This window comes from Homo sapiens, chromosome 4 (genome assembly GCF_000001405.40).
Source record: "Homo sapiens chromosome 4, GRCh38.p14 Primary Assembly".
NCBI lineage: Eukaryota > Metazoa > Chordata > Mammalia > Primates > Hominidae > Homo > Homo sapiens.
In genome coordinates, this window is record NC_000004.12 from 8492267 (window position 1) to 8508612 (window position 16346).

General features: G+C 53.1%; 1 protein-coding gene across 8 annotated transcripts in view, besides 2 other annotated features; it reads left to right on the forward strand.

The window, feature by feature from the left end:
• Window positions 1-16346, forward strand: part of TRMT44 (tRNA methyltransferase 44 homolog) — a 76174-nt gene that overhangs the window by 51490 nt on the left and 8338 nt on the right. Inside the window, exon 12 of one of the 8 annotated variants that reach the window (XM_047449678.1) lies at window positions 1000-1267. The exons of the other annotated variants lie outside the window; for them this stretch is intronic. The gene's annotated coding sequence lies outside the window, so the exon portion shown is untranslated. Of the gene's footprint in view, window positions 1-999; window positions 1268-16346 lie in introns of those variants that run through there. 8 annotated transcript variants of the gene reach the window in all.
• Window positions 6385-6885: an enhancer, noted in NCBI's record as "H3K4me1 hESC enhancer chr4:8500378-8500878 (GRCh37/hg19 assembly coordinates)". NCBI's record gives its function as "activates a minimal SCP1, AML or CMV promoter by ChIP-STARR-seq in naive H9 embryonic stem cells {active_cell/tissue: H9 hESC(naive)}" and the evidence as "EXISTENCE:reporter gene assay evidence [ECO:0000049][PMID:30033119]".
• Window positions 11916-12803: an enhancer, noted in NCBI's record as "H3K4me1 hESC enhancer chr4:8505909-8506796 (GRCh37/hg19 assembly coordinates)". NCBI's record gives its function as "activates a minimal SCP1, AML or CMV promoter by ChIP-STARR-seq in primed H9 embryonic stem cells {active_cell/tissue: H9 hESC(primed)}" and the evidence as "EXISTENCE:reporter gene assay evidence [ECO:0000049][PMID:30033119]".

Below are 16346 nucleotides of genomic sequence, written 5' to 3' on the forward strand. Positions count from 1 at the left end.
TGTAAACCACCCGGAACTGGCAGTAAATCTGATACCAAAGTCAGGTCCAGCCTTTCCTTTCAACATCAAAAACATACTTTTTGCTCTGGCCATGACCGCCGTGGTGCTGAAACCGCCTCTGCAAAAATTATAACAGAAAATTATGACCGTGAAAGGACAACTAACCTAACCGACTCCATCTTGCTTCTAATCTCCAAGCTGTCCTTGTTCATCCCCGGGCGTAGGCTCAACCTACTTTGGGAGGAACTTAGTTTACAGTGTGAAAGGAAAATAAATCTTGGGGCCCCAAAATCACTAACCCAAAGCAGAAAGTCAAGCTGGGAACTGCTTAGGGCAAACCTGCCTCTCATTCTATTCCTAAAAAAGATAGCTACTACGATTAAAAAGCTACATACCTCCCTCACAAGGAAATTCCTTGTGGACAAATGACAGAACTCAAAGCCACCTCTGCTCACTGAGATAGATGCGTCTCTGCCTGCCTCCTTTGGAAAGGCCAATCAGAAACTCAAAAGAATGCAACCGTTTGCCTCTTATCTACCTATGACCCAGAAGTCCCCTCCCTGCTTCGAGTTGTCCCACCTTTCTGGATGGAACCAATGTATACCTTACATATACTGATTGATGTCCCATGTCTCCCTAAAATGTATAAAACCAAGCTGTGCCCGACCACCTTGGGCACATGTCGTCAGGACTTCCTGAGGCTGTGTCACGGGCACACATCCTTAACTTTGGCAAAATAAACTTCCTAAATCGACTGAGACCTGTCTCAGATATTTGGGGTTCACAATGGTTTAACTTTGAAACAAAGACAATAACAACTCTTTTCCAAAACAAAGTCCCTGCCTGCCTGAGGATCAGACTGCCTTTGTAGGACTAACAAATTTGCCATGAGATTAGAAATTATGGTGTAGGAGTAATGCAGCTGGAGGTGGCGGGATTCTGAACCTCCTTAAATTGCTCCTGTGATAACCTAAGATGAGTGCTTAACATCTTTTACAGACCCTGTATTCAGTGGATCAGCTGGCACCACCCAAATAGATAAATTGGCCCATCTGGTCTTGTGGCCCCCACCCAGGAATGGACTCAGCTCAAGAGGACAGCTTCAGCTCCCTAAGATTTTATCTTGGACCCGACCAATCAGCACTCCCGACTTACTGGCCCTCTACTCACCAAGTTATCCTTAAAAACCTCAATCCCTGAGTTTTCAGAGAGACTGATTTGAATAATAATAAAACTCCGGTCTTCCACACGGCCGACTCTGCATGAATTAAGCTCTTTATTGCAAATTTCCTGTTTTGATCCATCAGCTCGGTGTAGGCAGTGGGCAAGGAGAACCCTCTGGGCAGTTACAGTGCTGAGAGGCATTCACTCCTCTGTCTGGTCTTCAGTCTATGTTGGATCCAGGCACCTCTCGACTTTCCGTTAGTCACCTTGCTCTCAGCGCAGCGGATCCTTTTGGCCTCCACTTTCCATTGGTCGCCTTGCTTTCACAGAGGCTGGCTCTTTCAGCAGCTGTCGCTTTGTCCTTGCTCATCAGGGCCACAGCTCTGGTGGAATGGGACCTGCCTGCCTGGCGAGCATAACCACCTCTGATTTTCCACCTTCATGGTCCTTAGTCACTTGTCATTTCGTTTTCAGGTCAGTCACTGGCAATAATGACTCTTACTGGTCTCTTACCAGCAACATTAGCTGTGGATCTCGTATGCTTAGGGACCATGATGAACAAACCACACGAGATTAAATCAGGCACAAGAGAAAAGTGTGCAACTGAGAGATGCAGAAAACACCAGGTGTGTGAGGCAGCTGTGGGGTGATGGGACGCACAAAGTGTGAAAGGAAAATCAATCTCGGGACCCCCAAATCACTCAGCCAAAGGGAAAAGTCAAGCTGGGAACTACATTAGGCTAACCTCCCATTCTATTCCTAAATAAGATGGCTGCATAGGTTTTAAAAAGCTGCATACCTCCCTCACAATTTGTTCCCTAGGAAATTCCTTGTGGGCCCCAAGATCTTCACCCTAAAACAGTTGTGTTAAATTTCACCCTCACAATGTAAATGGAGAGCTGATATTCACAGGTACAGGACAAAGGACAGAGCTCAAAGTCATCCCTCTGCTCACCTGAGACAAATGCATACCTGATGGCTTCCTGTGCCCTACGTTTGTTTTATCTTAGTAGAAATGCAGGTTCACTGAGCCAGACTAAGTTGTGTATTCAGTGAAAGACTGATCGAGGACTCAAAAGAACACAACTGTTTGTCTCTTAGCTACCTGTGACGTGGAAGCCCCTGCTTCCAGTGGTCCCACCTTTCCAGACCAAACCAGTGTTCATCTTACATATGTTGATTGATGTCTCATGTCTCCCTAAAAATGTATAAAAGCAAGCTGTGCCCGACCACCTTGAGTGCATGTCATCAGGACCTCCTGAGGCTGTGTTATGGGTGTGTCCTTAACCTGGGCAAAATAAACTTTCTAAATTGGTTGAGGCCTGTCTCAGATATTTTGGGTTCAAATACCCAAGGGAGGTATGAAGCTTTTTTTTTTTCTTCCAGTCTTTGCAGCTGTCTTATATAGGGATAAAATGGGAGGCAGGTTGCCTGATGCAGTTCCCAGCTTGACTCTTCCCCGTGGCTTGGTGATTGTGTTCTGGGAGCACCGTCGTAGGTGTGTTCTGTGGTGGACTGAAACATCGCGATGTAGTGCATGGTAAGCATTAAACACGGGTGAACGGTGTGCTTTCACCAGCTCCCAGCTGCTCTTTCCCAACACGGGCTTTCATCCAGGAAATGGCTGCCATGGCTGTTTGGAACCACCTGACTTGTCCACCATGAGAGTCCTCAGTCAGGGGAAGACAGAACATTTGGAGACCCCAGGTTAGGGTAGGGAGACTGTTCACACCTGGAACAGGAGGCAGCTGTGCCCCTGTCTGTTCCTCACAGTCCTGCTGCACTTGGGCAGTTTGCATCCATTGTCATAGGTAAACCCCCATGGGGTGTTAGTGACCTGATGCCATAGAGGAGAAAACTGAGGCTCAGAGAGGTTAAGTGACTTGCCCAGAATCACACAGCAACTGCCAGAGTCAGGATTTCCACGCTGGGCTGCAGCCTCCTGGCAGGGCTCTTCCCTGTGAGGCCCTTGACCAGAGGGACACTCGGGTTTTAGTCTGGGGGGCATGCCTTTGTTTTTCACCCTCCAGTCATGGTGCATGGTGGTTTCTCATTGGTGATGAAGTGGAGCTTTCAAAATGAATCCATTTCAGTAAAAAAAGTGGGTCAACTAAATACAAAATATTAACTAGGTGACAGTTTATTTGGTGCATGGAGAGGGACGACATCACAAAGGCAGCCCTCAAATTATGCAAGCTTGGAAATCACTGCCTCATATCTCCTTCCAGAATCAGGAGCAGGCAGCACCCGTGTCTCAGCGCACACCCTGTCCTTGTCTTGCACCTGATAGTGAGGCAGGAGAATCGGGTCTGGAGGCAGGGAACCTGAGGCCGATTCCTGCTGACTGGATACCAGAGGCAACCTCTTTTCAACCCCTCCTTTTTTTGCTGGCAGTTGAAACATGAAAGTACCTCTGATTGGTTCCCTCCCACAAACAATCAGACTGGTTGTGGGCCTACTCTTCACTCTGGTCCTCTCCCACAACCAATCAGACTGGTCGTGGGCGGGGCCTATTCATTCTGATTGTTTCCCTCCTGCAGCCAATCAGATGGGCCACAGGCCGCTACTTCATTTGCATAGAGTGAACCAATGAGAAACCTTCATTTGTATAGACTGAAGCAGTGGGAAACCTTCATTTGCATAGAGTGAACCAATGAGAAACCTTCATTTGCATAGAGTGAACCAATGGGAAGCTGTCATTTGCATAGAGTGAAGCAATGGGAAACCTCTAGAGGGTATTTAACCCAGAAAATTCTGTGACAGATGTTCTTGAGCCACTTGCTCAACCCTGCTCCCACTGTGGAGTGTACTTTTGTTTAAAATAAATCTCTGCTTTTACTTCCTTCCTTTGTATGATGTGTCCAATTCTTTGTTCAAAACACCAAGAACCTGGACAACTACCCTCACTCAGTAACAGTAGCCTCTGACTTTCTTGTTCTTATCCCGGCCTGCAGCAGCACCTTGGTCACCTCATCTGTTAGATGGTGGTGGAACACCTGCTGGCCAGGCTGCAGCTGAAATGGAAGGCAGGAGTGTGTGTTTGCATCTCAAGCCCGCCCCATGCAGGAGCTCAACCATGCAGTTGGGACTGTCGGTTGCTACAGGGCACTTGACAGTAGAAAGACCTCTGGGCAGTTAACCAGAGGCAGCTCCTCTAAATGAGATGCAGAGGTCCCCAAGAAGGAAAGTGAATTGCTCAGGGTCACAGAGCTGTGTGATTAATTAGAAACGCGTATTAATCTATCCTGCAGATGCAGGCGGTCACTGTGGCTCCCTCAGAGAGAGAGGACTGAGCCTCAGGGGCAGCCAGTAAATTTTCGCCTCTAGGGTAATTAGGAGTTCAGTGATTTTTTTTTTCTTTTTCTTTTTTTTTTAAAGCACGAAATGGGGTTAAATTTTTTAAATTAATTTTTAAAAATTGATTTTTAAAAGGAGTTTAGTGATTTTTAATGAAAAGAGCCCATAAGAGGCCTTTGTGATGGGGCCCTGGGCTTACCTCTCACTTATTCTGAGGCAGAAATTAAAGAAAAATAAATACTGCGTTTCTTCACTCTAAGAAAAGTAAAAGCTAAGTCCTAGAATGTGGCAAGGCAAGGGCTAAAAAGAAAAGAACAAGTGTTTTTCTATTTAGCAGCTCACTTCAAGGAGTTATAAGATAATGCTGTCTGAAAAGCCAAGGCTAAAGGAATGGGCTTTAGACAACTCTTCCTTCTCCAGAGCAAGGTTGAGGGAAAAAAAAAAAAAGAGAAAGACCAATTCCTTTACTGTTACTCCTTTCCTTAGTCTCTTAAGCATGATTATGTTTTACAAATGTCTCTATTTAGCCAGTTCTTGTTTTTCGTTTGATGCAGCTGCAAGTCCACAAGCTATGCACTATATGATTAACTGCTTTTGTTTTGCTTTTGTAAGCCAGCTTATAAAAACCCTGCTCTGGGCCGGGCACGGTGGCTCACGCCTGTAATCCTGGCACTTTGGGAGGCCGAGGCGGGTGGATCACAAGGTCAGGAGATCGAGACCATCCTAGCTAACACAGTGAGACCCCATCTCTACTAAAAATACAAAAAATTAGCTGGGTGTGGTGGCAGGCGCCTGTAGTCCCAGCTACTCAGGAGGCTGAGGCAGGAGAATTGCATGAACCCAGGAAGCGGAGCTTGCAGTGAGCTGAGATCGCGCCACTGCACTCCAGCCTGGGCGACACAGTGAGACTCCATCTCAAAAACAAACAAACAAACAAAAAAACCCTGCTCTGTCTTTGTTCAAGGCTCAGCTTTTTAGATGTGAGTCCACTGAGCTGGTGTGTACCTTAAAATAAACAATCCTCCTGTTCTCCATATCAGTCTCTTTAGTCTCTCTAGTTCTCTATTTCCCACAACATTTCAGATGCCACTCAGGTGAGAGGCAGTGAGGATTTTCCCCTCAGGGTTCTGCCCTTTGCCCACCTGAGCTACCTGCACAGCATGGTGTATGGGAGCTGTGCCACTGGGGCTGGCGTGGGGGGGGCTGGGAAAATCCCAGGGGCAGGGAGCAGGAGCTGTGCCCTCTGCTGGGCTGAGAGCATGGCCTTGCTCAGCTATGCTTCTCACTGTCCCTCCCCAGCCTCTGTGGACTCCCACCCACTCCAGTGCAAATCAGGACTCAGTGGAAGACGTCAGGAGAGTGGACATGCAGGTTTTAGAGATCCTCCCTTTGTGGGTTCCCCTTCTCCGGGGTTTTCTCCTCAATTTTCAGTAGTTTGGGCAGCTGTGAACTCCATCCCCTGACTCCTCAGGGTATGAAGATGATGACATTTTGCTTGATTTGCACCCTGTGCACTGCAGGGTCTGGCAGTTTCTTCCAGAAAGCCGAGTAAATGCAGATTCTACCTCGTGCACCTCCCTTCTTGTAGGGGTGTTCTCCTGTATTCGTCTGTTCTCAAATCACTATAAAGAAATACCCAAGACTGGGTAATTTACAAAGAAAAGAGGTTTAATTGGCTCACAGTTCTGCAGGCTGTCTAGGGAGCATGATGCTGGCATCTGCTCAGCTTCTGGGGAGGCCTCAGGAGACTTACAATCATGGCGGAAGGCAAAGGGAAAGCAGGCATGTCTCCATATGGCCAGTGCAGGAGGAAGAGAGAGAGGGGCAGCGATTTTCTTTCTCAGTGTTATGGAAAGGATGATGCCTCCTGCTGTTTACTTAGATTTGATAAAATGCGGTGTCTCCCCCTGCCAGGGTGCTGAAGGAGGGTCCCATGCTGAGACAGCCACACCTACCCAATATCCACGCCTCCCCTCATTCCCAGCTGCCTGTGTTAGCTTGGGCCACAGGTCTGGCTGATGGTCTGTGAGTAGAAGCGATGCCACTGTGCCCTGTCTGGAGATGCCAGGGGCGATGTGTTCTGGGTGGGGAGTCAGCAGATACAGGGGCAGGGGGCATGGGAGTGAACCCCACCTTTACAGTTAGAGCCACGGGGCCCTCTATATTTGTCGGGGACTGGTGGTCCCTGCGTGGTCCAGTTGCCCAGAGGAGGTACCCTTGAGCTGGAGCTTGAGAGGTAAGGGGGTCCCTCGTGGGAGGTGAGTTTGTCTTTTCCCCTCTCTGTGGTTCTGTGGCTCCAGGTGCAGCAGGGGCAGATACAGCTGCAGCAGGGGCAGCTGCAGCAGTGGCCTTCAGCCCAGGAGGAGGGGCTGGAGATTCAGTTCCCCAGGAGCTTCAGAGTGTGGCCATCAAGGAGGCCTGGGTTAGAGGTGGCCTCCTGAGATGTGGCTCTGGGTTCTAGGGTCCTGGGGCTCTGGGGTGAGCTGTGAACTCCCATCCGGCACAGGAGACTTGCCCCAACACTGTGCTGAGACACTTGCCCCATCTTCAGCCTGGGCCCCCTGCCCTGGGCCGTGTCTCTAAAGGTGACCCCAGCCCCTGAGCTGAGGTGTTGTACAAGAAAATGCAATGCTGCCAAACCGCAGCCTGCCTGGCCAAACCCTTTCCAGGAATTGTCCTCCTGCACCTGCCATACATTTCTCCATCCACGGAGCCTCAGGCCTTTGCCTTCCCTCTTCTTCAACCCTCCAATTTTGGTTTCGTCTCTATTCTCCCTTTAGAATTGAGTGTGGGGGTGGGCAGGGGTGAGGTCGTGTGTGTTGGGGCGTGTGGGGTGGGGAGGGAGGGGAGTGTCCTGAGGGTCGATTTAGTGTGTCCTGAGGGTCGATTTAGTGTCATGCCTCTTTCACCACCACCACCAAAGATGAAACCAACAATAAACTAAATACCGTGTGTTCTCATCTATAAGTGGGAACTAAATAATGAGAACAGTGGGCAGAAAGAGGGGGATCACAGACATGGGGACCTACTTGAGGGAGGAGGTTGGGAGGAGGGACGGGTTCAGAAGAAAACACAAAACTGTCAGATGCTACACTGAGTACCCGGGTGATGAAACAATCTGCACCCTGAACTCCTGAGTCAGGAGTTTACTATATAACAAACCTGCACATGTACCCTTGAACAAGAAATAAAAGCCAAAATAGAGAGAGAGCTCTCAGCCTATGGGCGCAGTGGCTCATGCCTGTAATCCCATCACTTCGGGAGGCCAAGGCAGGACGATTGCTTGAGTTCAGAAGTTCAAATCCAGCCTGGGCAACATAGCAAGACCCTGTTTCTATGAAAAAAATTAAAAATTAGCTGGGAGTGGTGGCATGTGCCTGTAGTCCTAGCTACTCTGGAGGCTGAGGCAGGGAGGACTGCTTGAGCCTAGGAGTTCCAGCCTGGGCAATGAAGTGAGACTCTGTCTCTAAAAAAATAAAAACAGCTGGGTGCGGTGGCTCATGCCTATAATCCCTGCACTTCAGGAGGCTGAGGCGGGTGGATCACCTGAGGTCAGGAGTTCGAGACCAGCCTGGCCAATATCGTGTAACCCTATCTCTACTAAAAATGCAAAAATTAGCTGGGCTTAGTGACGTGCACCCATAATCGCAGCTACTCAGGAGGCTGAGGCATAAGAGAGAATCGGTTGAACCTGGGAGGCAGAGGTTGCTGTGAGCCAAGATAATGCCACTGCACTCCAGCCTGGGCAACAGAGCGAGACTCCCTCTGGAAAAAATAAATAAATAAATAAAATAAAATAAATTAAAAGCCCTAGTCCCCTTAGTCTTAGCTGAGACTCAGCTCAGTGTGTCCTGGAACCTCTTCCCCACTCCAGGGGTCTGAATGAAGCCAGTCTTGCCACCTTTCACAAGTGTCTGGCAGGCACTGTTTACTTTTTTTTTTTTTTTGAGGCAGAGTCTCACTCTGTTGCCCAGCCTGGAGTGCAGTGGCGTTGACCTTGATTCACTACAACTTCCACCTCCTGGGTTCAAGCAATCCTTGTGCCTCAGCCTCCCGAGTAGCTGGGATTACAGGTGTGCACCAACATGCCCAGCTAAATTATTTTGTATTTTTAGTAGAGACGGAGGTTTCACCATGTTGACCAGGCTGTTCTTGAACTCCTGGCCTGAAGGGATCTGCCCTCCTTGGCCTCCCAAGGTGCTGGGAAGACAGGTGTGTTTCCTGTGATGCTGGGACCCCCACCCTGTGCTGTAGCACCCATAGATAGAACCACTTCCTCAGTGTGGGGGTGAGAACGCTTGGGAAGCACTGTATGAGGGAGCTCTGCCCTGGGCCAGAAACCCGGATGCAGCCCTGCCAGGCCCCCAGCTGTGGGGCAGGTGGTCGTGCCACTGCTCAGTGGATCCAATTGAGTGCCTACTGCATGGCCGGCAATTCCATGTGCTGGGGATAGAGTGACAGCAGAGGTGATGGCTTGTGCATGTGCAGGGCGGGAGGTGGCCTGTGGTGGAGCTGGCAGGTGGCCTGAGGGGACCCCTGGTCCATCGGGGGATGTGGGGCAGGAGAGACCCCACCCCCAGTTGGCCCCTGCAGTTCGAAGTCTGAGAGATGGTATGTAGGCTGCTGCTATTAATAGCAGCATGAGCTCTGGGACCGGATGTCCTGGGTTCAAATTCCAGCTCTGCCTCAAAAACTTGCAACCTTGGGGAAGTCACTCAACTTCCTGTGCCTCAGTTTCCTCCTGGGAAAAATGGGGATGAGGATAATCTTGGCAGAGGATTGTTGAGAAGGTTGAGTACATTTGGAGCCTAACAGCTTTAGCGGGCACTTGGCCACTGTGAGAACTCAGTGAGGGTTAGCGATTTCACACAAGGGCCTTCTCACCAGGCTCCGGCAGACGGGACATTCCTTTGCTATTTGAGATGTTTTTGGACTCTTCCTCTCCCTCTTTGCCCCTTTCCCTTTTCCTTTCCCCTTCTTCCCTTCTTTCTTCTTATGGGGAGCTAGCTGGGAGGTGCTCAGTTGGGGCCCTCAGTGACTGGAGTCTCAAGGGCTCTGCTGCCATCGGCTGTGAGCTCAGCAGCCCCTGTCCTTTCTGGGCCCCAGCCTCTCCATCCAAAAACCAGAAGGCTGCCTGGAAGGTTCCAGAAGTTGCTCTTGGTCCTGACCCCTGCCCACATCTCTCTGTTGAGAAGACTGGTGCCACTCTGGGGACAGCTGGCTTCCCGCCTCTTCCCGGGTCCCTGGGGAAGTAACTCCTCTCCCAGGAGGAGACAGACAACTGGTCCTCTGAGCAGCAGCTGAATTTTACAGAAGGGCTATTGATTGTTTTGTTCAAAGAGGGAGAATAAATTTGGTTCTGTGAGTCATAACGTGACATTCTCCAAAATGGTTCTGACCCATAAAACGGGGGCTCCTGTTGATATCAGCCCTGAAGGTTAATGGGTGTGTTTTCAGAATACTCTGCCAGGAATGACTCCAGAAACTGCCCTGAGTGCATCCATGGGAATGGTCCTCGGGACAGGCAGCCGCCATGAAATAGACACCCTGCCCTGCCTTCTTCCTGTTGGTGTTTGTTGACCACATCTGCAATCCTCTGATGAAGCAGGGGGTCAGGTGGAGGGAGAGGAAGCTTCTGAATATTTCTAATCTTCAGCTGCTTAAAAAACTACAACGAACTTAGTGGTTTCAAGGACACATATTTAGCTCATGGTGCAGTGGGTCTGAAGTGTGAGTGCAGCTTAGCAAGGTTCCCTGCTCACGGTCACATCAGGCTGCAATCACGGTACCAGCCAGGGCGTTGGTCTCAGCCGAGGCTCAGCTGGGGCAGGCTCTGCATCCACACTCACCAGGATGTTGGCAGTATTCGATTCCTTGCTGGCTGTTGGCCAGAGACTTGTTGTGCCTCAGTTTCCTCTTTGGCAAAGTGGGGTTGATTTTTCCTGGCCACAGGCCCTCTCCCAGGGCCAGCTCACACACAGCAGCACAACCAGTTATGATCTTATGCAAGGCTGTCAAGGAAGCAGTGCCATTGCCTTGGTGGATGCTATTGGTGAGACGCAGGTCCCAGGTCCCAGCTCCCAGATCCCGCTTACACTCAGGGGAGATTAATCAAAGGTGTCAGTGCCAGGAGGTGGGGAACATGGGCCACTACAGGGTCTGCCCACCACTCTCTGGATTGGCCCAAGACCACTTCTTCTTCACCCTTGAACACACAACAGACACAGGCACACACAGACTCAGCACAGGCTTGAATACCATCGGGATGAGGTAATGTCATGGGTTGAGGGGGCGTTCCCCACCCCTCACCTCCCACATGAGAGGCAGAGGCCAAGGTTTGGTTTCTGGCTGTGACCCTGGGCTGCTTTCCCACTGGGTCTCTGCTTCATTATCTGTAGAGGGAGGACTTGGACTTGGCAGGGGTTCCTGGACAATTCTCAGCCAAAGAAACCCGACCCCTTCCCCAGGCTGCAGGAGCCGCATTTAGGGGTGTTCTCCCGCTCTGCACACACACCCTTGAGGGTCTACTCCATTCACCTTGCAAGGCAAGCTGTCCCCTACAGCCCCGGAAAGGGTGGCACTCTATCCCAGCAGACCCTAGGCCGTGGCTGCAGCAGTCGGACCGGCTCAAGCATCTGCCCCGGGGAAGCAGCCTAAAGCAAGAGAATCACCCACATGGGAATCCGGACCCAGGTGTGGAGGACACTGGGCTGACAGTGTGCACAGGGCCATGCACCCACCAGCAAGGGACACAGCACTCGGTCCCAGAGGTGGCCTCTGTTGTGGCCCCAGCCTGCAGAATGATCTCAGGCAGCCACCCGGATGGAGGGTTTGGTGGAACTCCTGGGCCACATACCTCAGAGAACACAGCAAAGAGTCAGCACCCAGTAAGGTGCAGAGAACTTTCCACCCCGATGCCCACACAGGGTTCCTGCCATCAACGGGAGTCAGGTGGTCACAGGGCTTCTCTTGGGAACAGAATTCCCGTCCAGAAGCTTCCTCTTCTCTTGCTTTGGCCTGGGCCCTGGCTCCCAGTTCTGTCCTATGTCCCCGCATCTCTGGCTGTTCTTCAGTGCCCTGGTTGCTTCCCCTTCACCCTCCTAAATGTTGGAGTTCCGGAAGGCTCTGAGCCCCTCTTGTTCTTATCCTCCTGGCTAGCTTCGTCTCCAGCAAGCCCTCACACGCACCTCGGTGCCAAGGCTTGCAAACCTCAGCCTGTCCTGGCCTCGCTCCCAAGCTATGGGACAGAGCGTCTCCCCCGAGGCTCCCGAGCCTGTGGTGCCCTCTGCAGTCCCCGCACCCGTCCACACCTGCTCTCTCCTGCTCCCCCTCCAGCCTCTGAGCCTCTGAGGTTGGTGGGCATCTTGGTGGTGGCTGCTGGGAGGGTCTCAGGGCGGGGCAGGGGCTGCATCAGGGGTCTGCACTGCATGGAATGGACATGGCATGGTGTAAGCCCCTCAGCCTGAGATTCAGCACCATTTCCATGCTGCTCATGTCCCCACCTCCTCGGCTTTCCCCATGGCCCACCTAAGTCTCCTGCGCTCCTGCAGGGCTGAGCAATGGCCCCCATTCACTAAGGCAGGGAATCCCCTCTGCCCGTGCCTGCTCCCTTCCCCGCCAGGTACCCGCGCCAGCTTTACTGCCTTCCCTCTTCCTCCCGGGCCTGCGCTGCTGCCCTCCTCCCCTGGAGCTGTGCCAGCTCCAGCTTTTCAGCCAGCAGCTCCTGCCCCGCCCCACTCATTGTGTCCAGACCTGGGCTCCATGCTGACCCCCAGCGTGTACGGAGCTCCTGCCATTCCTTGGGTGTGGACCTGTGCCGAGTCTGTAGTGTGCACAGGTCCTGCCAATCCTTGGGTGTGGACCTGCGCCAAGTCTGTATCCACCTTCAATAGCTCATCTCTTCCACCCGGGAGGAAGTTCCCTTCATCCTCCCTGTGGGGAAGAGGGCACTGAAGCTTGGCAGAGCTCTTCCTGGGGTCTCAAGGGTCTGCTCCAAACCCTTGCTCTTGCCCCTGTCACAACCCAGGCACCCTGGCTGCACCTGCAAACTGCACTCCATGGTGGCAGCCCTGCCCTGCCAGTGCCAGCCCCGTCTGCCTCACCACCCCAGTCCCTGAGCTCCCTGGGGCTGAACGCCACTTCTCTGGATTCTAAATAGGCCCCCGCAGGGTACCTGTTGCTGTATCTACCACTTCCCCCAGCCTCCTGGTCTGGGTCCTGCTGATTCTGGTCATTACTCACCTTCTGCTCTACCCACCCTCCCCTGCATGCTGCCCCCAGCCGCAGAGGAATGCCCCCTCCATGTCCCACTCCCTCCACCAACAACAGCTGATCTGTCCTTTCTCCTGGCTGCGTGACCTCTCAGGAAGAGGCGGTGCTACACTGAGGGCCCTGGCAGCCTCTCTAGGTCCCTGTCCCTCACCTTTCAAAGGAGAGATAGGACAGAGGTGGCAGAAACTGGCTGGAGCAGGCTTCTGTCCGGGTGCTGCTCCGGCTGTGACTCCTCACCCCTCAGAGCTGCATCTTCCATCTGCGAACAGGAGGCTGCAGCCCCTGAGGAGGTGGCATCTCTGCCTGTGGGAAGTCAGGTGCACTGAGGCCAGATGCAGGGAGGGTGCTCCAGGCTCAAGGGTGCAGGAGGAGCCTCCTGCCCTGGGAGGCCAGCACTCAGCCCCAGCTCTGCCACCTTGACCTCCCAGCACCTCTGCAGCCCGGGCATCCTAGTCTGCAAGACGTGGTAGGGTGGATGGAGATCCCCAGGGTTCCTCCGTGGCCCTGGACAGGCAGCCGGTGTGGGGGGCATGAGTCACGCCCTGTGGGGGAAGGGGAGCAGCAAATGTGCCTGCCCTCCGCTGCACTAGCTGCACTGTTTCATGCCCATGCAACCCTAAGAGATGGGAGTCCTCACTGTCACCCTCTCATTCAGATGAGGAAGCAGAGACAGAGAGGCTGAGACACTTGCTCAAGGCCACTGATATGGTTGGGCTCTGTGTCCCCACCCAAATGTCATCTTGAATTGTAATCTGCAGGTGTTGAGGGAAGAACCTGGTGGGAGGTGATTGGATCACAGGGGCGGTTTCCCCCATGCTGTTCTGGTGATAGTGAGGGAGTTCTCATGAGGTTTGATGGTTTTGTAAGGGGCTCTTCCTCCTTCTTGCACTTCTGTCTCCTGCCACCATGTGAGATGTGCCTGCTTCCCCTTCCACCATGATTGTAAGTTTCCTGAGGACTCCCCAACCATGTGGAACTGTGAGTCAAGTAAACATCTTTGCTTTATAAATTATCCAGCCTTGGGTATTTCTTCACAGCAGTGTGAAAATGGACGAATACACACAGCAAATCACAGCACCATAGTTGGGGACGAGGGCTGTGTGGCCCTGAGTATGTGCTCCTGATGAGGACATGGGACACCAGCTAGAGAAGGGGCACTCCCTGCTCTCATGGGGACATTCACAAGGAGACCTGGTGCTCAGTGCAATGTCTGGGGACCTCCTTGAGACCAGGGCACGTGGGTGTCACAAGCTGCTGAGGGGCTGTGCCCTGCTGACACTGCTGAGGGCGCTTGGAGTGCAGAAATATTTTCAACAGAAGTGGAGCAGAAGGGATTTCTCCTAAACCCTCTGTTACCCAGAAAACGGCATGGACTGGAATTCCGCATTTCTTTAACAGTCTGTTTAGCCAGATCCTGACTCCACCAAAAACAAAGAAGCCCTCAGCCGCCTGCTGGGGTGGGAGGTAGTGACTGTCCTTCCAGCCCGGGCACCACTCCATGCTCATTGCTGATTTGGCCTCACTTAACCTTTGGTGCTGGGCTCTGCCGCATTCCAGGGTCCCTGTGTGACCTGGGCAGCCCCTTCCCCCCTCAGCCTGGGGTCCTCTCGGGCTGGGAGGTGATGGCTCTGCCCCAGGGGGAGCGGGCCAAGTGCTACGTGTGCACTTCTCTGTGGAATTCTCACCTCCTGGGCCAGCCCCTGGGCGGAAGGAGGCTGCTGGCCCCGCGTGGCCTGCCCTGTTGGAGGCTCCGCCAGAGCCCACGTCTGCAGTGCTTGGAGCCATTTCTTGGCACAAATATAAAAACAACTCCAGCTCTGCCGTGCTCCAAGTGAGAAATGCTGCTTGGTGAGCTGGGCTGGCTGGGCTGCTGGCCCTCGGTCAGCCGCCTGCAACAGGCAGGGCCACGGGAACCTCATCAGCAGAGCTTCCTGGAGGCAGCGTGGGTGGAATTGTGGAATTGTCATCAGACAGGCCTGGGATGGAGCTTCCCCACTGGAACGCAGCTGGCTGTGGACAGGGAGTCAGCTGCTGCCTGAAGGGACAAGGAGGCCTGCGACCACAGCAGGTTCCCACCTGGCCTGGGCCTGGAGGCCAGCAGGCACCTTTCAGGGCTTCCCAGCTCAGCCCCCACAGCTGGATGGAGCTGTGTTCCCTGCAGAAGTGTGGCCGGCTCCGAGCAGGCACAGGGGGCTCTTTCCCTCCACCTCAGCCCTGGCCTATGTGGGCACAGCAGAGGACGTGCTCACACCATGGGGGCCCCCGACCAGGCGAGGCCAGGGCGTGTCCACATTGGGGAAGTGAACGAAGAAGGACAAGTCTATTTGAGGGGCTGGCTGATAGTTTAGAAGCCCAGAATCGCCTGGCAGTGAATTATTCTGCTGAGTAACACTGTACCCAGAGGGATGTGGCTGAAAACCCCGGGAGGGAAGGCTGCGTGCGGGAAGCACTCCCATCCTCCCCCAGCGCCTGCTCTGGGCGTTCCGGAGCTCAGCGTGCATCCTTGCCTGTGGGTTCTGGGACCATCCTGCCATCTCCCTCCCCTTTCTTTCCCCTTTCCCCTCCTTTCCTTTCTCCTCTTTCTCCTTCTTTCTGTTTTCTTCTTTCCTGGCTGAAGCCAGAATTCATTTCTGTTACTTGCATCCAAAAAGTGTTCAAACAAGCATGCTTGCTGGGATCCTGGGTCCTGCCCCTGGTCACCTGGAGGCAGGGCTGTCGCTCCATGTACAGACAGGAGTCCAGGAAAAACTTGAGGAGACACAGCGTGTTCCGGCCCCCGCTCCTTCACCCCTGCCCCGTCCCCCAGTGACAGATCCGGCAGCAGGCAGAGCCTTGAGCCCAGAAAGCCCAGGCCCCCTGGGAAGCTTAGGTGTGGCCTCACATCTGGCAGTTTTTGCTTTGATTTGTTTTGTTTTGTTTTGTTTTGAAATGGAGTTTCGCTTTTGTTGCCCAGGCTGGAGCGTGACGGTGCAATCTTGGCTCACTGCAACCTCCAGCTCCCAGGTTCAAGTGATTCTCCTGCCTCAGCCTCCCGAGTAGCTGAGATTACAGGTGCCCACCACCATGCCCAGCTAATTTTTGTATTTGTAGTAGAGATGGGGTTTCACCATGTTGGCCAGACTGGTCTCGAACTCCTGACCTCAGGTGATCTGCCTGCCTCGGCCTCCCAGAGTGCTGGGATTACAGGCATGAGACACTATACCTGGCCTCACATCTGGCAAGTTTTACAGCTCAGGTTTCTGTGTGGGGTCCTGAGGCAGCCCCTGGGCAATTTCGTATGGCTGTGGGAGGGTGAGGAGGGACTTTCAGGACGTGACCTTGTTATTAGCAGGGGCTGCGGCTGGAGGTTGGCCTGCCGGGCCCTGAGGGTGGGTCTGGGTGCCATGGGTTGTGTCTGTTGTGTGGGTTATTGGTTGGGCCTGGGGAGCCCATGGGAGTCTCCAAGCCCCCTCCCCAAGTGACCCCCAGCCAGGCCTGGCCACCTCGTCCCCTCTGCTGGGCTGCGGAGTTGAACCTGATGTCTGCTCAGAGTCACCTCTGAGTGGTGCAGACATTCGGAAGTGTCCGTGGGACTGGATGGAAGGGACCCCATCCTCAGCCTTCATGGCCGGGGT